Source organism: Homo sapiens, chromosome 5 (assembly GCF_000001405.40).
Source record: "Homo sapiens chromosome 5, GRCh38.p14 Primary Assembly".
In the NCBI taxonomy this organism is placed as follows: Eukaryota; Metazoa; Chordata; class Mammalia; order Primates; family Hominidae; genus Homo; species Homo sapiens.
In genome coordinates this window covers 37,286,097-37,309,642 of record NC_000005.10, presented here as the reverse complement: position 1 = coordinate 37,309,642, position 23,546 = coordinate 37,286,097, and the positions used below count along the sequence as shown (strand labels likewise).

The 23,546-nt window shown below is 41.7% G+C and overlaps 1 protein-coding gene across 5 annotated transcripts in view; it reads left to right on the top strand.

Moving 5' to 3' along the window:
* NUP155 (nucleoporin 155) overlaps positions 1–21,506 on the top strand; it is an 82,970-nt gene extending 61,464 nt beyond the window's left edge. For 3 of the 5 annotated variants that reach the window (NM_001278312.2, NM_153485.3, NM_004298.4), the window contains 12 exons: positions 376–514; positions 2,211–2,346; positions 4,433–4,586; positions 4,800–4,904; positions 6,229–6,383; positions 6,735–6,864; positions 8,093–8,206; positions 10,075–10,195; positions 10,665–10,775; positions 15,178–15,314; positions 16,658–16,764; positions 17,605–21,506. In NM_001278312.2, coding sequence (NP_001265241.1) covers positions 376–514; positions 2,211–2,346; positions 4,433–4,586; positions 4,800–4,904; positions 6,229–6,383; positions 6,735–6,864; positions 8,093–8,206; positions 10,075–10,195; positions 10,665–10,775; positions 15,178–15,314; positions 16,658–16,764; positions 17,605–17,743 — 1,548 coding nt within the window. In that variant the 3' untranslated portion in view covers positions 17,744–21,506. Of the gene's footprint in view, positions 1–70; positions 221–375; positions 515–2,210; positions 2,347–4,432; positions 4,587–4,799; positions 4,905–6,228; positions 6,384–6,734; positions 6,865–8,092; positions 8,207–10,074; positions 10,196–10,664; positions 10,776–15,177; positions 15,315–16,657; positions 16,765–17,604 lie in introns of those variants that run through there. The other 2 variants (XM_047417934.1, XM_011514165.4) reach the window with 2 other exon arrangements.

Sequence of the window (23,546 nt, the reverse complement as noted above, 5' to 3'; positions counted from 1 at the left end):
CTAAAACTTCAAGTAAATCTTTTAGTGAATTAGAGTTAATGGGGGCATTTTTATTGATCCTTTCCTACAGGTGGAAAAAATAAATAAATCAGTGTCACATGGACTGCCTGCTGCCCAATAATGTATTGACTAGGCAAGAGAATTACCAGACAAAAGTTCTCTTGCTTAACATATTTGGGAGAGGAATTAAGAATAGCTAGGAATCTTTGGTCAAAAACTTTTCTGCCTAAAATTAAGAAGTAAGTTTGTAGAGTTGTTTTCATTTTAATGGTAATAACCATATATAAATTTAGACATAGACTAAAACTTAGTTGACAGCATCATCTGTCTGCTTGATTTTATATATTTTTAAGTTCTTGTTATCTCCTCTTCTAGGCAAATGAGCTTCTCCAGCGTTCCCGACAAGTTCAAAATAAGACTGAAAAAGAAAGAATGTTAAGGGAATCATTAAAGGAATATCAAAAAATTAGCAATCAAGTGGACCTTTCCAATGTTTGTGCTCAGTATAGACAAGGTGAGAAATAAAATGTTTCTTGTATCTTTTACTCAACTCAAAAGACAAACAATAGTGTATGAATGAAGCAAGCTAATGATGAAAAGCCACTTTCCAGATGCAAATCTTCTTTCAGCATCAGAGGCCGAGTGAAAGGACGTAGGAATGTGGTATCATTGTGTTGCAATATTTGATGACTACACTGACCTGCAGAAGCTGTAATGTTCTTTCTATTTTTTGAAATGTACTTTTTTTTTTTTTTTTTTTTTTTTTTGAGAGTCTCGCTCTGTCAGCCAGGCTGGAGTGCAGTGGCACGATCTCAGCTCACTGCATCCTCTGCCTCCCAGGTTCCAGCAATTCTCCTGCCTCAGCCTCCCGGGTAGCTGGTATTACAGGCGCACGCCACCACGCCCAGCTAATTTTTTATTTTTTTATTTTTTTATTTTTTTTATTTTGAGACAGAGTCTTGCTCTGTCACCCAGGCTGAAGTGCAGTGGTGCGATCTCAGCTCACTGCAAGCTCTGCCTCCCAGGTTCACGCCATTCTGCCTCAGCCTCCCAAGTAGCTGGGACTACAGGCGCCTGCCACCATGCCCGGCTAATTTTTTTGTATTTTTAGTAGAGATGGGTTTCACCATGTTAGCCAGGATGGTCTCAATCTCCTGACCTCATGATCCACCCACCTCAGCCTCCCAAAGCGCTGGGATTACAGGTGTGAGCCACCGCGCCCGGCCATTGCCCAGCTAATTTTTGTATTTTTAGTAGAGGTGGGGTTTTACCATGTTAGCCAGGGTGGTCTCGATCTCCTGACCTCAGGTGATCCACCCATCTCAGCCTCTCAAAGTGCTAGGATTACAGACATGAGCCACTGCGCCCAGCCGAAATGTATAACTTTTTAGCATTAGAGTTTCAGTTCTTGTCCAGTTCAATTACTGTATGTTTTACATTGCTTTCTGGATTACATTTATTTTTCAGATATTTAAAATTTTTTATTGAGTTTTAAGGTATAATCTGCTTACTTTTTAAAAAATTACTTTAAATCAAATCTAACATAATGTAAAGGCCATAACTATTTGCACAGGTATTATTTTGAATCCCAAGGTATTTTTTTCCCCCCAGTAGGGAACTAAAACTTTCCTTTTTGTTATTTGAAATAGGATCTTTTTTTTCCAATGAAGAAATATATATATATATATATTTTTTTTTTTCCTTTTTCTTTTTTTTTTTGTGAGACAGAGTCTTGTTCTGTCACCCAGGCTGGAGTGCAATGGTGCAATCTCAGCTCACTACAACCTCTGCCTCGCTAGTTCAAGTGATTCTCCTGCCTCAGCCTTTTGAGTAGCTGGGATTACAGGCGCATGCCACCAGGCCCAGCTAATTTTTGTATTTTTAGTAGAGGTGGGGTTTCACCATGTTGGTCAGGCTGGTCTCGAACCCCTGACCTTGTGATCTGCCCCCTCTCAGCCTCCCAAAGTGCTGGGATTACAGGCGTGAGCCACCACACCTGGCCCCCAATGAAGAAATATATTTAACAGTTGCCTTTTAGGCATATTAAGACCTTTTCCTTCTGAAGACCTATCAGAAATATTTTATGTTAGCAGGGTGACTATTGTACAGTAGAGACATAACCTTGATCATTATTTTCATGTGCCAGCTAAGGAAAAATGTATCCAACTTAGTAGTAAGTCATAGGTCTTCATTCTTTTCTTTCCCATCAGTGAGATTTTATGAGGGTGTGGTGGAACTTTCTCTTACGGCTGCAGAGAAAAAAGATCCTCAAGGTCTTGGGCTTCATTTCTATAAACATGGAGAACCAGAAGAAGACATAGTTGGACTTCAGGCCTTCCAAGAAAGGTGCATTCCATTACGTTAGCAGATTGTCATCTTTATGGATACAGACTTTTCTTTGCATAATGTTTTTTGTTTTTTGTTTTATGTTTTTTTTTTTTTTTTGAGACAGAGTCTTGCTCTGTCACCTGGGCTGGAGTGCAGTCGTGTGATCTTGGCTCACTGCAATCTCTGCCTCCCAGGTTCAAGCTATTCTCGTGCCTCAGCCTCCCATGTAGCTGGGATTACAGGTGCACACCACCACGCCTGGCTAATTTTTGTATTTTTAGTAGAGACAGGGTTTCACCATTTTGGCCAGGCTGGTCTTGAATTCCTAACCTCAAGTGATCCACCCACCTCAGTCTTGCAAAGTGCTAGGATTATAGCCATCAGCCACCGTGTCTGGCCTCTTTGTGTAAAGGTCGACCACCCAAAGTGCTGGGATTACAGGCATGAGCCACCATGTCCAGTAGGATTTCATTTTAAAGGATAATTTTTAAGTATTCCCAAATTTGTTGAGACTGTTAAAAAGGAAATGTGTGTCCTTAAAAGAAATATAGGCCAGGCACAGTGGCTCACGCCTGTAATCCCAGCACTTTGGGAGGCTGAGGTGGGCAGATCATGAGGTCAGGAGTTCGAGACCAGCCTGGCCATCATAGTGAAACCCTGTCTCTACTAAAATACAAAAATTAGCCAGGCGTGGTGGTGCACACCCGTAATCCCAGCAACTTGGGAGGCTGAGGCAGGAGAATTGCTTTAACCCGGGAGGCAGAGGCTGCAGTGAGCTGAGATTGCACCACAGAACTCCAGCCTGGGCGTCAGAGCAGGGCTCCGTCTCGGAACAAAGAAGAAATATATAACCTTTCTATAACATATATATATGGAGGGTGTTTTGTTTTGTTTTTGTTTTTGTTTTTGAGACAAAGCTTCACTCTGTCTCCTGGGCTGGAGTCAGTGGCACCATCATAGCTCACTGTACTCTTGACCTTTTGGGCTCAAGTGATCCAGTGATCCTCCTACCTCAGCCTCCTGAGTAGCTGGGACTACAGGCACATGTCACCACACTCGGCTAATTTTTTTTTTCTCTTTAATTTCTGTAGAGACAGGGCCTCACTATATTGCCCAGGCTGGTCTTTAACTCCTGGGCTCAAGCAATCCTTTCTTCTCAGCCTCCCAAAGTGCTGAGATTAGAGGTGTCAGCCACCACATCTGGCGAAAACATATTTTTTTATTACTATATTTAATGACTTTACCCTTTTAATGTTTAACCAAACACTTCTCAAACTTATTGAAAAAGTATATGGTTTGTATTATTTTAAATGCCAAATATGTACATCTATTCTGCCAAATAGTCTTGAAATCCTTGTATATACTTAGGTAAGGTAAATCAATGGCTTTCTTTTTTGTTATTTGTTTTGTTTTGTTTTTGGGGGGTTTTGTTTTTTGTTTTTGAGACAGGGCCTCATTCTGTTGCCTGAGCTGGAGTGCAGTGGCATGATAATAGCTCACTTGCAGCCTTGAATTCCTAGGCTCAAGCGATCCTCCTGCCTCTGCCTCCCAAGTAGCTGGGATTACAGGTGCACACCGCCACGCCTGGTTAATTTTTTGTTTCGTTTTGTTTTGTTTTTTGTTCGTTTGTTTTTTGAGACAGGGTCTTGCTGTCACCCAGGATGGAGTGCAGTGGCATGATCTCAGCTCACCTCAACCTCTGCCTCCCAGGTTCAAGCAATTCTTGTGCCTCACTCACCTGAATAGCTGGCACTACAGGCATGCACCACCAAGCCCGGCTAATTTTTGTATTTTTGTCAGATACGGGGTTTCACCAGGTTGGCCAGGCTGGTCTCAAATTCGTGACCTCTGGCAGTCCCCCTGCCTTCGTCTCCCAGAGTGCTGGGATTACAGGTGTGAGGCACTGTGCCCAGCCAATTTTTTTGTATTTTTTGTAGAGACGTGGTCCCGCTCTGTTGCCCTGGCTAGTCTTGAACTCCCAGCCTCAAGCCGTCCTCCTACCTTGACTTCCCTATGGCTGGCATTACAGGCGTGAGTCACCACACTTACCATCATTTGCTTTCTAGTTAAATAATGTAATTGTTCCTTTTCCATTTTCTTTCAGATTAAACAGTTACAAATGCATTACAGACACACTTCAAGAACTGGTAAATCAAAGTAAGGCCGCTCCTCAGTCTCCCAGTGTACCCAAAAAACCTGGTCCTCCAGTGTTGTCATCTGATCCAAATATGCTGAGTAATGAAGAAGCAGGACATCATGTAAGGGACATAGTATATTTTCATTCTGAGAATACACTGTTTAGAAGTTCTCCATGGTAATGGTAGCACAGTCATCTTGGGGAAAGGTGGTAGTTCTTAGAAGTTATCATGTAAGGATTCTTGATTTCTTACTGGAGTTTATAGGGCTAAAGGGTTGTGATGCCCAGAAACAGAGCCTTTAACTGCTAATTTTTACTATTTTCTTTATTTTAGTTTGAACAAATGCTTAAATTGTCACAGCGATCCAAGGATGAGCTCTTTAGTATTGCCCTTTATAATTGGCTAATACAAGTCGACCTTGCAGATAAGCTGCTACAGGTAAATCTTTTTTTATTGCAGTTGTGTTAATTATTCTTAAGGAGCATAACTCAATGATTTAAGCACATATATAGATGTAAAAAATTCAGTTTCTCATCCCATGCCTGCTATTAGATGTTAGTATAAAGCTGAGTAATGCAGTATCTTTTCCTAAGGGGCAAAGTAGGCTACTGCTCCAATTTTCTTGTTAATTCGAAGCTGATTGGGATAGTTTGTATTGCGGGGTAGAAATCACTGGATTATGAATATGAGTCCTGTAGGTCATCTTATCTTAACTCTGCTGTTAAGTCACTGTGACTTCAGATATGTCCTTTTACCTACCCTAAGTTTCAGTGTTCCTCAATCTGTTTAATGAATACATAGCATTTGATAATTTCAATAATGCCTTTGAGCTCAATGTCTAGGAATCAATAGCTGTGTTATCAAAGTTTATTTAAAAATTTGTAATTTTATAGTAAATTTCCCTTTTTTTTTTTTTTTTTTTTTTTTGAGATGGAGTCTGGCTCTGTTGCCCAGGCTGGAGTGCAGTGGCATGATCTCAGCTCACTGCAACCTCCGCCTCCCGGGTTCCAGCAATCCTCCTGCTTCAGCCTCCCAAGTAGCTGGGATTACAGGCACCCGCCACCACGCACAGCTAATTTTTATATCTTTTTAGTAGAGACGGGGTTTTACCATGTTGGCCAGGCTGGTCTCAAACTCCTGAGCTCAGGTGATCTGCCCACCTCAGCTTCCCGAAGTGCTGGGATTACAGGCATGAACCACTGTGCCCGGCCAAATTTCCTTTTCTTTTTTGAGGCAGGGTCTCAATCTGTAGCTTAGGCTGAAGTGCAGTGCAATGGCACGATAATGGCTCACTGTAGCCTTGACCTCCCTAGGCTCAGGTGATCCTCACACCTAACCCTCCTGAGTAACTAGAACTATAGGCCCGCACCACCACACCCAGCTAATTTTTTTGTAGAGACGAGGTTTTGCCATATATTGCCCAGGCTGGTCTCAAACTCCTGAGCTCACATGATCTGCCCACCTCGGCCTCCCAAAGTGCGAGGATTACAGACATGAGTCGCCATGCCCAGCCTACTAAATTATTGTTATCAACCTAATAGAATTGTTTTGGAAACTCTTATGCTAACTGTGGTAAAACAAAAATTGTTTATAATAAGAAAATTTGCCCTCTCTTTTATCTGTTAGTATTGGATTATAATTTTGCTTGTTTTCATAAAACAAGGCAAAGTTGTAGTTGACTTAAAAATACTATATTTTCCTTATCAGGAACATTATCTGTAGGTGGTTAGAAAATTTTTCTGAATAACTATATAATTTCTAGGTTGCTTCTCCATTTCTGGAGCCACATCTAGTCCGAATGGCCAAAGTTGATCAAAACAGAGTTCGTTATATGGATTTACTCTGGCGGTATTACGAGAAGAACAGAAGTTTCAGTAATGCTGCTCGTGTACTGTCCAGACTGGCTGACATGCATAGGTATGGCATAATATTCTTATTGTGAAGAATGATTCAAAACTGAGCTATATGTACTTACATTCAGTTTTCTTTAATTTTAGAAGAATCTAAGTTTTAATATACTGACCTAAATTTTTTAAATAGGATGTTACTTTTTAGTCATAAATGTATTTCTTTATGTGTTGTCTAAAATTGTGGATCTCTCTTATGAGAAATCTAAAATAGATTTTTTTTTAAATCTAATGATTTTTTTTCAAGTTTCAGATGGCTTTTTATGTGTGTTTGGTATGAAACAGTACATACTAATTGACGTATTTGTATCATCAATCCTTAAGAAATTGTGTAACTAAAAATAAGCGTTTTCCCTTCTAGCACAGAAATTTCACTTCAGCAGCGACTAGAGTACATTGCTCGAGCCATTCTTAGTGCCAAAAGTTCCACTGCCATTTCATCAATAGCTGCCGATGGTGAATTTCTTCATGAATTAGAAGAAAAAATGGAGGTAAGTGCTAAAGATCTTAAGCTGTGTCCACATTGAGTACTAGCCACATAGTTATTCCACATTCCATTCTTCCCTTGGTAAGTAATAGGTCTGAGAAGTCATTATTATTCTAGTTGCTTTTGTCTGTTTATATTTATTTTTATGTTTAGATATAAATCTTAAAGATTTTTAAGGATGCACTTGGGTCATAAAAACATTGCTATAATTTAGAAGTTTTCTCTTTGGCACTTCGAAAGGTTTTTCCCAGCTGGGTGCAGTGGCTCACGCCTGTAATCCCAGCACTTTGGGAGGCCGAGGCAGCCAGATCATGAGGTCAGAAGTTCGAGACCAGCCTGGCCAATATGGCGAAACCTTGTCTCTACTTAAAAAAATACAAGAATTAGCCGGGGGTGGTGGCACACACCTGTAGTCCCAGCTACTTGGGAGACTGAGGCAGGAGAATTGCTTGAACCCAGGAAGCGGAGGTTGCAGTGAGCTGAGATTGCACCACTGCATTCCAGCCTGGGAGACAGACTGAGACTCTGTCTCAAAAAATAATAATAATAAAAAATAAATGTTTTTCCCAACTGTTTCAACAGCAAGTGGATTACATCACATTCACCATTTATTTTGGAAGCAAATAAGTAGATGTATGAAGTAGAGTAGGCTAAAATTCCCTAACTAAGAGAATCAAAAACATACCATCGTCCAAATACAAAAGTTTGTTTCTTATTCACAAAAATCCAAGGTGAGTCTTCCTGATTGGCAGCTGGCTTTCCTCCGTGTGGTTGATTTAGGAACCCAAGTTCTATTTTCTGGCACTACCATTCCCTAGGGCCTCTGCTTTATCTTCAGCAGAGGGTGGAAGGAAAAGAAAGAACACATTCACTGTCTTAAAAACTATAGCCCTGACATGACACACTACTTCTACTCACATTCCTTTGAAGAGAACTTGGTTGTATGGCCATACCTCCCCTACAGAGGAGGCTGAGCTGTATAGTCTAACCATTTGGCTACAGTCTTGGAAGGTATAAGTATTGGGCAGCAAGGAGTCTGCCACAGTATACTTCCTGTGAAATCTATTATGTTTAGTTGATGTCTGTTATGATAATATTAGCCTATTATGATAGAAATCTTCATTTATACATTATTTTAGCAAACTTAAAGTCAGATAGTAGGATCCGTTCTTTCAAACGTATGTTGATTTATCATAAATAAATTAAGACATCCTGTTTTCTGCCCAAACTAGGTTGCTAGGATCCAACTTCAGATACAGGAGACACTACAAAGGCAGTATTCCCATCATTCTTCTGTACAGGATGCAGTTTCTCAGCTGGATTCTGAGCTGATGGACATAACTAAGGTAATAAAAAAGCAAGTGAAATTTTTATAGTAGTTACCTAATAATGAGAAATTTTTGTTTTTTATTTTGCTTTTTGTTTCATGGGGAAAATTACCTTATCTCCACAAATAAGATAAGGCATCTTTGGCAGCTTGTCACTGGGCTGACAGATCACCACTGCTTCATCTGACTCCTAGAAAAAGGCTAAGCTACTCTTTCCAGGCCAGTAGCTACAAAGAACCTATCATCCTCGCATGAGAGCTGTGTTAAAACCAGCTTATTTCCAGCCTGGGCAACATGGCAAAACCTCATCTTTACAAAAAAATAGCAAAAAAGGCCAGGCACTGTGGCTCACGCCTGTAATCCAACACTTTGGGAGGCTGAGGCGGGCAGATCACCTGAGGTCAGGAGTTTGAGACCAGCCTGGTCAACATGGGGAAACTCTGTCTCTACTAAAAATACAAAAATTAGCCAGGCGTGGTGGCATGCGCCTGTAATCCCAGCTACCTGGGAGGCTGAGGCAGGAGAATTGCTTGAACCCAGGAGGTGGGGGTTTCAGTGAGCCGAGATCATGGCACTGCAGTCTAGGAGCCTGGGCGACAGAGCAAGACTCCATCAAAAAAAAAAAAAAAAAATTAGCCAGGTGTGGTGGTGTGTGGTTGTAGTTCATCTACTCAGGAGTCTGAGGTGGGAGGATTGATTTAGCCCAGGAGGCCCAGGTTGTGGTGAGCCTCGATGGTGCTACTGCATTCCAGCCTGAGTGACAGAGTGAGACCCTGTCTCAAAAAGAAAAAAAAACTAAAAAACCAAAACCATCTTATTTATGGCCTCGCTTCTTGCCTTGGAAAAACTAACTTATCTTTGCTTAACTCTCTAAACCTCTTTCTCTCTCTGTAATTTTCTGAGCAGTTCCTTCCTCTTCATTTATTCTTAGACATAGTTCCAGGTACCCTGAAACACTTTGAGATTTGTCAGTATTCCTGTGATTCTTCAACCCATTGTTTATACAACACTAGTTCTAAAATACCATTGCAGGAGGTTTGTAGGGAAGGTGGGGATGGTTAATGGGTACAAAAACAAAATGAATAAGACCTATCTGATAGCACAATAGGGTGACTATAGTCAATAATAACTGTATATTTTAAAATAGAGAATGTAATTGGATTATTTGTAACTCAAAAGGATAACTGCTTGAGGAATAGACATTCTCCATGACATGCTTATTTCTCATTGCATGACTGTATCAGAACATCTCATGTACCCCATAAATACATACACCTACTGTGTACCCACAGAAATTTGAAAAAATGAATTTTAAAATTAATAAATAGAATGTCGTTGCAACATCTTCTTCCCAGCCAAGAAAAAAGCTCTACATGCTAAAATGTGTTTGAATGTATTTACCATACCCTTACCCTTTTTTTTTTTTTTTGGCGGGGGGAGACAGAGTCTTTCTCTGTCACCAGGCTAGAGTGCAATGGCGTGATCTCAGCTGACTGCAACCTCCACCTTCCTCAGCCTCCTGAGTAGCTGGGACTACAGCCATGCACCACCATGCCCAGCTAATTTTTTTTTTTTTTAAATTTTAGTAGAGACGGGGTTTCACCATATTGGCCAGGATGGTCTCCATCTCCCGATCTCGTGATCCGCCCACCTTGGCCTCTTAAAGTGCTGGGATTACAGGCCTGAGTCACCGTACCCGGCCCATACCCTTAACTTTTTAAATATGGAGTTATAACCAGCTACATACATCATCACATCTTTATATCATATTTCAGAAACTTTATGTAAAATCTTTGGTTATTTTTTAATTTTCAAGGAGTGCTTCACTATTAATCTCTGAATGTTGATCTCTAGTTGGATGTTAATTTTGGGATTTTCTCTCACAGCTTTATGGGGAATTTGCTGACCCATTTAAACTTGCAGAGTGCAAACTTGCAATAATTCATTGTGCCGGTTATTCAGACCCTATATTGGTGCAGACACTTTGGCAAGATATCATAGAGAAAGGTAAGTGTTCAGTTATAGGTATGTTAGCATACGTTATGTAGTGACTTGGTGGAGGAATGCAAGCTGCTAGTAACTAATATAATGCAAGCTGCTAGTGGCTCATGAAAATTGTGTATACCTAAGAAGAGAGTAAGTGGAAGTCACCTGGGTATGGTGGAGGATGATCATACACAGAATGACCCAAGTGAATATTCGGGAGAATACTCAGTGAAAAGGTTATTTAATTTATATTATTTGTGCTGCCTTATAAAAGATACTGAGACACTCACCTCAGAATCTAATAACCAGTATAACCTGGTAAGACATGAGAGTATCTCAGACAATAACAGAAACACCAAATCTGTTAATCATATTAATGTGACTATCTGTTCTAAAGTATTTTGAACCTTGAAACAGAATTAAATAACCAATGTAAACATTTCACATTAAAAGTAATTTGGGTTTCAAATGACATGTCTTTTTGTTACAGAATTGAGTGACAGTGTGACATTGAGCTCCTCGGATAGAATGCATGCTCTTAGTCTCAAGATTGTTCTCCTTGGCAAAATTTATGCTGGCACACCACGCTTCTTTCCTTTAGGTAAGCTGTGATCTTAGGTGCAGTCACGTATTTTCTGTTCTGATGGTTTTCTCCGTTGATATGGACAAATAACGATCTTTCGAGTAAAATAAAGAGTTTCTTTGCTATTTAGTTCAGCACTTTAATTCTGCCTCTCCGGAAAGACTTCCAAAGAATGGCAGAATTTGTTAATGAAGAGTTGAGTATGAAACTTTCTGTGACTAACTTTCCAAGTTTATATTACCTGTCTTAGGATTGTGCTGACTGACAAACTATGATTATATTGTTGGTAACCCTATACAAGTTTCTGAAGAGAAAAGAAAAACGGTTGATGTTTTTGTGCATAGGTAATCTGTGATTGATTCAACTGTTCTTTTTTTATGTTGAGGGCATGTTTTTCTTTAAAATAGCAAATAATTATGTTAAAACTTAGTGTTTGAATCCCTTTCTTAATGAGATATGGTGGCTATAATTTTTAAATAAGGTAGCTAATTATGAGCTATTTGCCAACCTACAAGTGTTTTCCTCAGTGGTAAAACAATAGAAGCAACATAAATACATCCATAAATTAGAATATCAACTACTTTTGTGTTATTTAAAAATATTGAGAGACATGAAAATCCTCACAATATAACTTTTTTTTTTTTTTTTGAGACAGAGGCTTTCTCTGTCGCCCAGGCTGGAGTGGAATGATGCCATCTCGGCTCACTGCAACTTCTGCCTTCCAGGTTCAAGCAGTTCTCCTGCCTAGCCTCCCAAGTAGGTGGGATTACAGGTGCCTGCAACCACGCCTGGCTAATTTTCTGTATTTTTATTAGAAATGAGGTTTCCCCATGTTGTCTAGGCTGGTCTCAAACTCCTGGCCTCAGGTGATCCGCTTGCCTTGGCCTCCCAAGGTGCTGGGATTAAAGGCGTTCGCCACTGTGCCCAGCCTAATTTTTTTTTTTTTTTTTTCAAATGAGCATTCAAACTTGTTTACAGACCATCTCTGACTTAGGGTCTATTCCCTCTGGACATAGTCAGAAATAAAACCATTTTATTCATACCCTTACTTTTGTAGGTATAATATGGAAACGGTTCCCTTTCCATACCATTTTATTGATCCTAAAAATAAAGAGAAATAAAAGAGCAAATACATACTTTATATAAATGTTTATAAGTGTGTGAAACTGGTACTTTTGATAGTTGTTTTAAAAAACACTGCACCATGGCTGGGCATGGTGGCTCACAGGTGTAATCCCAGCACTTTGGGAGGCCGAGGCGGATGGATCGCTTGAGCCCAGGAGTTCGAGACCAGCCTGGGCAACATGGCAAAACCCTGTCTCTACAAAAAAATAGGAAAATTATCCAGGCATAGTGGCATGCGCCTGTGGTTCCAGCTACTCGGGAGGCTATGGTGGGAGGATCACTTGAGCCTGGGAGGTGAAAACTGCAGTGAGCTGAGATCGAACCACTGCACTCCAACCTCAGTGACACAGTGAGACCCCATTTCAATAAATAAATAAATAACACTGTATTGTACATAGTTCTTTTTAAGGAATTTTCATTTTAATTTAGAAATAATCATGTGGGCTTTGTGTGGTGGCTCACACCTGTAATCTCAACACTTTGGAGAGGCAAAGGCAGGAAGATTGCTTGAAGCCAGGAGTTTGAGACCAGCCTGGGCATAGCAAGCCCCGTCTCTACAAAAAAAATTAAGATTAGCTAGGCATGGTAGCACGTGCCTATAGTCCTAGCTAATCAGGCTGAGTTAGGAGGATTTCTATGTTTTACTTATATATATATATTTTTTTCTTTTGATAGAGAAGGGATCTCATGGTGTTGCCCAAGCTAGTCTTGAATTAGCCACACCTAGCTAATTTTTTTGTATTTTTAATAGAGACAGGGTTTCACCATGTTGGCCAGGCTGGTCTCGAACTCCTGACCTCAGGTGATCTGCTCACCTTGGCCTCCCATAGTGCTGGGATTATAGGTGCGAACCACCACGCCTGGCCATAACTATAAATTTGGCTGTTACTGTTTATGATAAGATAGGCAGTTAAAAGTAAGAATGAGGCCACAGTTAGAACTGTCAAATAAATCTAGGGGTGGGGCATTAAAAAACACATTTAATATTTCTGAAATCAGGATGCAGTTGCCCTTTTCTGAAAAGCTGTTAAAGTGAGGAAACCTATTTATTTATTTATTTATTTATTTATTTTTATTGATCATTCTTGGGTGTTTCTCGCAGAGGGGGATTTGGCAGGGTCACAGGACAATAGTGGAGGGAAGGTCAGCAGATAAACAAGTGAACAAAGGTCTCTGGTTTTCCTAGGCAGAGGACCCTGCGGCTGCCTTCCGCAGCGTTTGTGTCCCTGGGTACTTGAGATTAGGGAGTGGTGATGACTCTTAACAAGCATGCTGCCGCATGCTGCCTTCAAGCGTCTGTTTAACAAAGCACATCTTGCACCGCCCTTAATCCATTTAACCCTGAGTGGACACAGCACATGTTTCAGAGAGCACAGGGTTGGGGGTAAGGTCACAGATCAACAGGATCCCAAGGCAGAAGAATTTTTCTTAGTACAGAACAAAATGAAAAGTCTCCCATGTCTACCTCTTTCTATACAGACACGGCAACCATCCGATTTCTCAATCTTTTCCCCACCTTTCCCCCCTTTCTATTCCACAAAACTGCCATTGTCATCATGGCCCGTTCTCAATGAGCTGTTGGGCACACCTCCCAGATGGGGTGGTGGCCGGGCAGAGGGGCTCCTCACTTCCCAGTAGGGGCGGCCGGGCAGAGGTGCCCCTCACCTCCCGGACGGGGCGGCTGGCCGGGCGGGGGGCTGACCCCCCCACCTCCCTCCCGGACAGGGCGGCTGGCCGGGCGGGGGGCTGACCCCCCCCTCCTCCCTCCCGGATGGGGCGGCTGGCCGGGCAGAGGGGCTCCTCACTTCCCAGTAGGGGCGGCCGGGCAGAGGCGCCCCTCACCTCCCGGACGGGGCGGCTGGCCAGGCGGGGGGCTGACCCCCCAACCTCCCTCCCGGACGGGGTGGCTGCCGGGCGGAGGGGCTCCTCACTTCTCAGACGGGGCGGCTGCTGGGCGGAGGGGCTCCTCACTTCTCAGACAGGGCGGTTGCCAGGCAGAGGGTCTCCTCACTTCTCAGACGGGGTGGCCGGGCAGAGACGCTCCTCACATCCCGGACGGGGCGACAGGGCAGAGGCGCTCCCCACATCTCAGATGATGGGTGGCCGGGCAGAGACGCTCCTCACTTCCTAGATGGGATGGCGGCCGGGAAGAGGCGCTCCTCACTTCCTAGATGGGATGGCGGCTGGGCAGAGATGCTCCTCACTTTCCAGACTGGGCAGCCAGGCAGAGGGGCTCCTCACATCCCAGACGATGGGCGGCCAGGCAGAGACGCTCCTCACTTCCCAGACAGGGTGGCGGCCGGGCAGAGGCTGCAATCTCGGCACTTTGGGAGGCCAAGGCAGGCTGCTGGGAGGTGGATGTTGTAGGGAGCCGAGATCACGCCACTGCACTCCAGCCTGGGCACCATTGAGCACTGAGTGAAGGAGACTCCGTCTGCAATCCCGGCACCTCTGGAGGCCGAGGCTGGCGGATCACTCGCGGTTAGGAGCTGGAGACCAGCCCGGCCAACACAGCAAAACCCCGTCTCCACCCAAAAAATACGAAAACCAGTCAGGCGTGGCGGCGCGCACCTGCAATCGCAGGCACTCGGCAGGCTGAGGCAGGAGAATCAGGCAGGGAGGTTGCAGTGAGCCGAGATAGCAGTACAGTCCAGCTTCGGCTCGGCATCAGAGGGAGACCTTGGAAAGAGGGGAGAGGGACAGGGAGAGGGACAGGGACAGGAAACCTATTTTTTTTAAATACTGTTACTAAAAAAAATTATCAGTGAAGTCCTCTTCAATATTGGGATCGTGAATCGTCTCTGTTTTCTTCTTATATCTTTCTGAGTTTTCTAGGTTCTGTAATTTTAATTTTAGGACATTTTCATCATCCCAAAAAGAAACTCTGTGCTCATTAGTTGTCACTTCCCATTCCTTCACACCCTCCAGCCCTAGGCAGCCACTAATCTACTTTAGATTTGCCTGTTCTGGTATATATCTTACTTTTATTTAAAAAAAACTTTTTTTTTCTTTTAAGCTGAGAGTGATGGTGCACACTTGTAGCCCCAGCTTACTTGGGAGGTTGAGGTGGGAGGATTGAGCTCAGGATTTCAAGGCTGTCGTGCACTGTAGTTGCTCCTATGAATAGCCACTATTTCTAGTCTGGGCAACATAGCAAAAAAAACCCCCCGCCCCAAAAAATTGCAATTGGATTTCAGAAGATATCCCCCTAGAAACTATTCAGTTATGAATAAGACCTACCTTTTAGTATCAAGAGCTAAAAATCCAAATTTCCGATCTTTTTTTTTCTTCCCAGATTTTATTGTACAGTTTTTAGAACAGCAGGTTTGTACTTTGAACTGGGATGTGGGCTTCGTAATACAGACAATGAATGAAATTGGAGTACCATTACCTAGACTACTAGAAGTTTATGATCAGTTGTTCAAATCACGGGTAAGGAAAATATTAAATAACATAAAATTATTTTCTTTAATTAAAGTAACTTTGTAGATATAGAGTGGGGTATTTTGATTGCATTTTTGTATCCTATCACTTAGTCTAATTACACTTGGTTGAGTCTTGGAAATTATGCTTTTGACTTTTTAAACTGATAATGAGAGTTGCTTTCCTGTATATCATGATTAAAATGAAATATTATTTTTGAATATTAATAAATATGCTTTACTCTTGGTGAAAGAGGCTAAACCAAGGTGTGGGCTAAACTCATTACATTAAGAATCATCATTTGCTTTATTTTTTTTTTTTTTTTTTTTTTTGAGACGGCGTCTCGCTCTGTTGCCCAGGCCGGACTGCGGACTGCAGTGGCGCAATCTCGGCTCACTGCAAGCTCCGCTTCCCGGGTTCACGCCATTCTCCTGCCTCAGCCTCCCCAGTAGCTGGGACTACAGGCGCCCGCCACCGCGCCCGGCTAATTTTTTGTATTTTTAGTAGAGACGGGGTTTCACCTTGTTAGCCAGGATGGTCTCGATCTCCTGACCTCATGATCCACCCGCCTCGGCCTCCCAAAGTGCTGGGATTACAGGCGTGAGCCACCGCGCCCGGCCAAGAATCATCATTTGCTTTAAAAGAACAAGATTACATTGTATTTATTTACTATAACCTCATCTAAAATATCAGTGCTTAAAGATCCTTCTCACCCTGCTGAACCTTATCAGACTATATGTTTTGTAATTTTTATGCTAAGGATAAAAGATCCAAATAAAAACTTGTCAAAGTAGATTGTGTCTTTTATAGCAGCATCACACAGTGCTTTACAACATTAGCCTGTGATGGAAATGAGCAGGTAACTGTAGTATCTCCATCTTATATTGCAAAAAACAAGAGCAGAGATGTTAAATAACCTGCTTAAGTCACATGGCTAGTAACTGGTGAAGCCAGACCTAGAATTAAGTTTCTGTTACTGCTAGTTTAGTCTCTTTATGATGTCAGACTAAATCTGCATAGGTTCAAAGTAAAAGTGGTGTCACAACCCATAGAAAGAAAGATTTTTCTCTTATCTCAGATTCCTAAGCGGGACATTTACATGCTCTGCAAAGTAGATTGGTATATCAAATATGCCTCCTAAGTAATATCATAGTGTTGTTAATTAATAAGTTTTTAATGTTGTTTGAAATATTAACTATAATCAGATATATAATTTAGTAGCCATGTGATATTAAATGCTTTTTAATAGCGATAAGTTTTGCATGGATCCTGATGTCTACTTTAGTATAAATGATTTAAATAATCAATTGACACAATTTGCCTCACATTTCATTATGTATATTTCTTCATAGGATCCATTCTGGAACAGAATGAAGAAGCCACTGCACCTTTTGGATTGTATACATGTATTATTGATAAGATATGTTGAGAATCCCAGCCAAGTTTTAAATTGTGAAAGGTACTTATGAATTAAATATTGGATCAGCAAAAGCTTTTAAATGCTTCTAATAAATACCTGGGTAAAAAATTTGAAGAGAAGATGGGAAGATTCTTGTGTATATTAGCAATAACTATTTGAATGATATTGATCACCATGTATGAAAAATAGGAGTTTTTTCCATTTTCAACCCTTGTCCTAAATCCTTTCTACAGCTGAACATACATAATGTATTCATTTCTTCTACTTTAGATTAGTGATCTAGGACCAAAACATTTCAATTATGTCTTTGTGATATTATTGGCCATTTAAGGGATATTCTTTTGAAAAAGAATATTAGCAGGAATCATCTCTTACTGCTTTCTTCTCATTGTAAAAATCTTCAGGCCAGGCGTGGTGGCTCACACCTGTAATCCCAGCACTTTGGGAGGCTGAGATGGGCGGATCATGAGGTCAAGAGATCGAGACCATCCTGGCTAACACGTGAAACCCCATCTCTACTAAAAATACAAAAAAATTAGCTGGGCGTGGTGGCGGGCACCTGTAGTCCCAGCTACACGGGAGGCTGAGGCAGGAGAATGGCGTGAACCCAGGAGGCAGAGGTTGCAGTGAGCCGAGATGGCGCCACTGCACTGCAGCCTGAGTGACAGAGCGAGACTCCGTCTCAAAAAAAAAAAAAAAATCTTCAAATGGAACCCACCTACACCCAAGTTTTCTTTTTTACTTTATTTCTTATTTACTTAATCACATGGTCTTTCCTCTCCTGTGAGAATTAAAGTTGCCAGAAGTTGGTGGGGAAGAAGTCCTGCAGGAGGAAATGTTTGTAAATGTATAATTAATCATGTGTCTTTTTCGTTGTAGGAGAAGATTTACAAATCTCTGCCTGGATGCTGTTTGTGGTTACCTTGTTGAGCTCCAGTCTATGAGCTCGTCAGTAGCAGTACAAGCCATCACTGGGAATTTTAAATCTCTTCAAGCTAAATTAGAACGGCTTCATTAATTACTGTGATATACTTTCATCCGTTTTATGATCTGTAAAATAAAAACTCAGCTGGGTCCAGATATCAGGTGTTCTAAATCTAAGAATGTAAGAACAATCTTAATAGAAATATGTTTTTAATAAGTGGCTAATATCTACAAATAGTACCTTTGCTAAATGAATTCTTTTTTATGACTATTTTGTTTTTTAGTAATTGGGTGAAAAAACAACTGAAATGAGATTATTTATTATTTTAACATAAGGATTAAAAAAATTTAGAAACTCTTATTTTGAATTGTACTGCAGGCAGAAATTTCGAATTTATATTATTCATTTTCAAGTTAGTCCAAGGATATTGGCATTAAAACTCCACTAGGCGGCCAGGCACAGTGACTTACACCTGTAATCCCAGCACTTTGGGAGGCCAAGGTGGGCGAATCACGAGGCCAAGAGTTTGAGACCAACCTGGCCAACATGGTGAAACCCCATCTCTACTAAAAATACAAAAAAAAATAGCCAGGCGTGGTGGCGGGCGCCTGTAATCCCAGCTACTCGGGAGGCTGAGGGAGGCGAATCACTTGAACCCGGGAGGCAGAGGTTTCAGTGAGTCAAAATCGCACCATTGCACTCCAGCCCAGGCAACAGGGCGAGACTCTGTCTCAAAAAACAAAAAAACCTCAAATAGGCTAAGCAGATCCATTCCCATAATAGTGGATTCTAAAACCGTCCTTAAATAGGCAAATAACTGACTTTTTCAAAACTTTTTTTAGGTGTTGGGTTCACCCTTGAAAGAACTGTCCTCTAACAACTGGTTTTGTCAGTTAAAGCCCTTGAGAATTGACATAGCTATATACCTGGTTGAGCAGGTGATAAAACTTGTAACTAATGTTGTGTCCTGAAAACCTACACAGGGAGGTACTGTTTTCCCTTAGTGTCTACCTGGCTGCTTGGCCTTGTGACTACTGATTCCATTAGAGCAGTGGTTCTCAAAGTATGTGCTCCAAACCAGAAGCATCAGCATCAGCATCAGCATCACCTAGGAATTTGTTAGAAATGCAAATTCTCGAGCCCCAACCCAGACCTACTGAATCAAAAACGTGGGGGATGAGGCCCTGCTTTCTATGTTTTAACAAGCTCTCCAGGAGATTTTGGTGCATGTCAAATTTGAAAGCCACTGCAGTAAAGGATACTGCTACCTTCCATAGTTTATGGACTGAGCTACCTATCTGGCTCCTCCTCTGTGAATAACCACACACACAAATTTTGCCCAAGGCACACAATATATAAAGCAAAACTGTTAGTAATGTACTTTTTAATTATTCCTTAACAAAATAGAATAACCAAACCAAATGCTTCAAAGTAATAGCAACAAGAGAGAAGAAGAGTGGGAATGACCAGAGCTAACAAAACACTCTATTCCTTTCTCTCTTTTTTTTTTTTTTGGAGACAGAATCTCACCCTGTAGCCCAGCCTGGAGTGCAGTGGTGCGATCCCGGCTCACTGCAACCTCTGCCTCACAGGTTTGAAGCAATTTGCCTGCCTCAGCCTCTCGAGTAGCTGGGATTGCAGGTGTGCGCCACCATACCCAGCTAATTTTTGTATTTTTAGTAGAGATGGGTTTCACCATGTTGGCCAGGCTGGTCTTGAACTCCTGACCTCAAGTGATCTGCCCGCCTCCACCTCCCAAAGTGTTGAGATTACAGACGTGAGCCAATGTGCCTGGCCTATTCCCTTCTCTCTTTATGCTACCACAAATAATTACCTTCTGTTTATTGTAAGTGATGCATGTCTAACAATTTGTACAATACATTTTGAATATATTTTTCCTTCCATTATTGTCTTTTCCCAAGACCATAGGGTTGCCTTCTCTACATTTGTTCTCTTAGAATTCAGCTCCCTTTTCCCTATAATCTTCTAATGTAGAATATTTAATAGAATGCCAGAACGTCACTCAGTGGGTACTACTACCTCTTATTTTTCAACTTTTCAGTTTCTTAAGTTTAGCGTTTTTTGAATATGTAAAGTGAATGTATGCGATACATTAATTCGTTTTATAAATTTAAAATTCTGTCATGTCTACTTAAAAGGAAGGCCTTGTCTGAATGTTGTAATTTAGGTGTGACTCCAGTTCTGCTAGAGATAAGAACTTCATTTTTGTTTTAAGCACATTTACATACTAGCAATATGTTGTTATATATACTCAGCTCACAACATTGAAAGTACATGTTTTAAAAGGGCTGTAGGCTTCCATGGTTAGATGGTCTGTTAGAGTCAGAAATCTGAACACTGTCCTTTTATTCACACAGCATGCTTTGAGAGGTTTTAGGAATTCCAGCCCCACAACAGATGCTTGCAATACCTTTTGGGGGGTAAGATTCCTAAGAGAGAAGAAATTAGGTCCCCTCATTTTTACCCTTGGAACAGTGTTTCTAAAACTTTCACATTCAGAACAATCAGCCGGATAGCCTGTTATGACAGATTCTTGAGTTCCATCTGTAGTGTCATGCTGATCCTGGCAGTCAGTGGATCAGAGTTGGAGTAGCATTTATCCACTGTATTAGTATACTTTGTACTTGGTGTTTGTTCAACGCATTACTTTTTTGAATTTTTTTGTTTTTTGAAGACAAGGGCTTGCCCTGGAGTGCAGTGGCATGATCTTGGCTCACTGCAGCCTCGAGCTCCTGGGCTCAACTCAGTCTTCCCACCTCATCCTCTTAAATAGCTGGGACTACAGGCACGTGCTGCTACACCCTGCTATTGTCTGTTTGTTTGTTTGAGACTGAGTTTTGCTCTTGTTGCCCAGGCTGGAGTGCAATGGCACAATCTTGGCTCACCACAGCCTTTTTTATGAGACTGAGTTTTGCTCTTGTTGCCCAGGCTGGAGTGCAATGGCACGATCTTGGCTCACCACAACCTCCACTTCCTGGGTTCAAGCAATTCTTCTGCCTCAGCCTCCCGAGTAGCTGAGATTACAGGCATGCGCCACCATGCCTGGCTAATTTTTTTTTTTTGTATTTTTAGTAGAGATGGGGTTTCACCGTGTTGGTCAGGCTGGTCTTGAACTCCTGACCTCAGGTGATCCACCCCCCTTGGCCTCCCAAAGAGCTGGGATTACAGGCATGAGCCACTGCGCCTAGCCCCACCCCCCCTACTTTTTTTTTTTTTTTTTTTTTAATTTTTTGTGTAGCCAAAAGATCTCACTCTGTTGCCCAGACTGCTCTCAAAACTCCTGGCCTTAAGTGATTCCCCTGCCTCAGTCTCCCAAAGTGCTGGGATTATAGGCATGAGCCACCATGCCTGTCCATTATTTCTTTATAGTGACTATTATATGTAGGCAATGTATAATTGGTAGAACATAGTCTATGAAACAGTGCGTTAATTGTGGGCAGTGAAGAATCATTGAAGTTGTGAAATTTGTATTTTAACTAGATCATTGTAGTATGGCAAAACGGTTAGGAAAGAGAAAGCTATCTTGACTAACTGTTTATGCTATGAGATACTGACTGATGTACATGTACATTTAGTGTTTCTTTAGGTATACCTGACTTATTCATTGAACACCTATCCACTGATCTCAAAAGTATTCCTCAGGGTAGTCTCCATTCCTGTCATTTTTCCTCCTATTCATGAGACGGAAAAATTATGACCATGGTACAGAGTTGTATCAAGGAAATGAAGAACTAGAACATTGAATTGAAAGGTTTTGAAAGGGTTCACAATTTCTTTTCATTTTCTATTAATGTCTTCTTTTAAATTCTCTTAAGAATAAAACTTTTTTCTAATATTTTAAGTCTTCCATTAAATCATTGAAACTCTTCTGAGCTTCGTTTTCCTCATATATAAATGAGATTGAAGCCAAATAATAAAACTTTAAAAATCAATCAAGGGCCAGGTGCAGTGTCTTACACCTGTAATCCCAGAACTTTGGGAGGCCAAGGCAGGTAGATCACCTGAGGTCAGGAGTTTGAGACCAGCCTGACCAACATGGTGAAACCCCGTCTCTACCAAAAATACAAAAAAGTTAGCCGGGTGTGGTGGTGGGTGCCTGTAGTCCCAGCTACTTGGGAGGCTGAGGCATGAGAATCACTTGAACCTTGGAGACAGAGGTGCAGTGAGCTGAAATCCCACACCACTGCACTCCAGCCTGGGCGACAGAGGAAGACTTGGTCTCAAAAACAAAACAAAATCAATTTACCATGTGGGATCCGGGATCCCCATGTATGTTTTCAACCCACATTAGAAATGACCCCCTAAAGCACCTCTGTCAAAACAACCAAACCTGAACTCATCCCTCTCTGCCCTCTGCCCACTCTTGCTGTTCTTCCTTGTTTTCTACCTCTTTATTGTCTCAAATAGAAAATATGAAAATCATTACATTGTCCTCCCTTCAAAACCAGTTTTTAAGCAAGTCTACTTGATATCCCCCATATCTGCCCAATTGTCTCATTACTTTAGGCTTTCAGGGTGGATTAAAGTTACTCTGTTTCACTTGGATGCTTAAAACAGTGTCAAAGTGGTCTTCCTGCCTCTACTTTGACCTCTCCATCTCTGTTTCCACACCAAGGACAGAGTGGTCTTTTTAAAATCTAAATTTAGCCCTTGAGACGCAGCTTGAGCTTGAGGCATGCAGGGCTGGAGACACGGCAGACCTTCAACCCAGAGCAATATGAGGTGGTGAGCAAAAAAATGGAAAGGAAACAATAGAATAAAAAAGTTGGGGCCGGGCACAGTGGCTTACGCCTGTAATCCCAGCACTTTGGGAGGCCGAGGCAGGCAGATCACCTGAGGTTGGGAGATCGAGACCAGTCTGATCAACATGGAGAAACCCTGTTTCTACTAAAAATACGAAAATGAGCTGAGTGTGGTGGTGCATGCCTATAATCCCAGCTACTCAGGAGGCTGAGGCAGGAGATTTGCTTGAACCTGGGAGTCGGAGGTTGTGGTTAGCCAAGATCGCGCCACTACATTCCAGCCTGGGCAACAAGAGCGAAACTCCATCTCCAAAAAAAAAATTGATGCAGAGCCTGAAGAATTTGTAGTGGAAAAAGTACTGGATCAATGTGTGATGAATGGTAAGGTAGTGCATTTCCTGATGTGGAAGGGATTTATAGATGCTGAAAGTACTTGGGAACCTGAAGAAACTTAAGCTTGTCAAGAGTTACTTGGAACATTTAATTCTCAAAAAAGCTGTTAAAGAAAAAGATGATACAAGAAGAAAATATTTACCTGACAGTTGGATAACATAAAATCAAGGAAAGAGATACTGCAGACAAACCAAGAGACCTTGATCCTGAAAAAAATAATTGGCTATGCAGACAGCAGTGGAGAATTGATGATACTCATGAAATGGAAAATTCAGATAAAGCAGACTTGGTGTTAGCAAAAGAACAAAACATGAAGTGTATATAAAACCGGGCTCTTGCTTTTTGCTTTACTAATGTGAAGAAATAGCTGCATTCTAATAAAAATCAAGTTTGATATGTTCATTTTGAAAGTAGTTCGGGTTATGGCTGGGCACGGTGGCTCACATCTGTAATCCCAGCACTTTGAGAGGCCAAGGTGGATCACCTGAGGTCGGGAGTTCGAGACCAATCTGACCAATATGGAGAAACCCCATCTCTACTAAAAATACAAAATTAGCCAGGTGTGGTGGTGCATGCCTGTAATCCCAGCTACTTGGGAGGCTGAGGCAGGAGAATCACTTGAACCCAGGAGGCAGAAGTTGCAGTGAGCCGAGATCGTGCCATTGCACTCCAGCCTGGGCAACAAGAGCGAAAGTCCATCTCAAAAAAAAAAAAAAAGTAATTTGGGTTCATGACCTGCC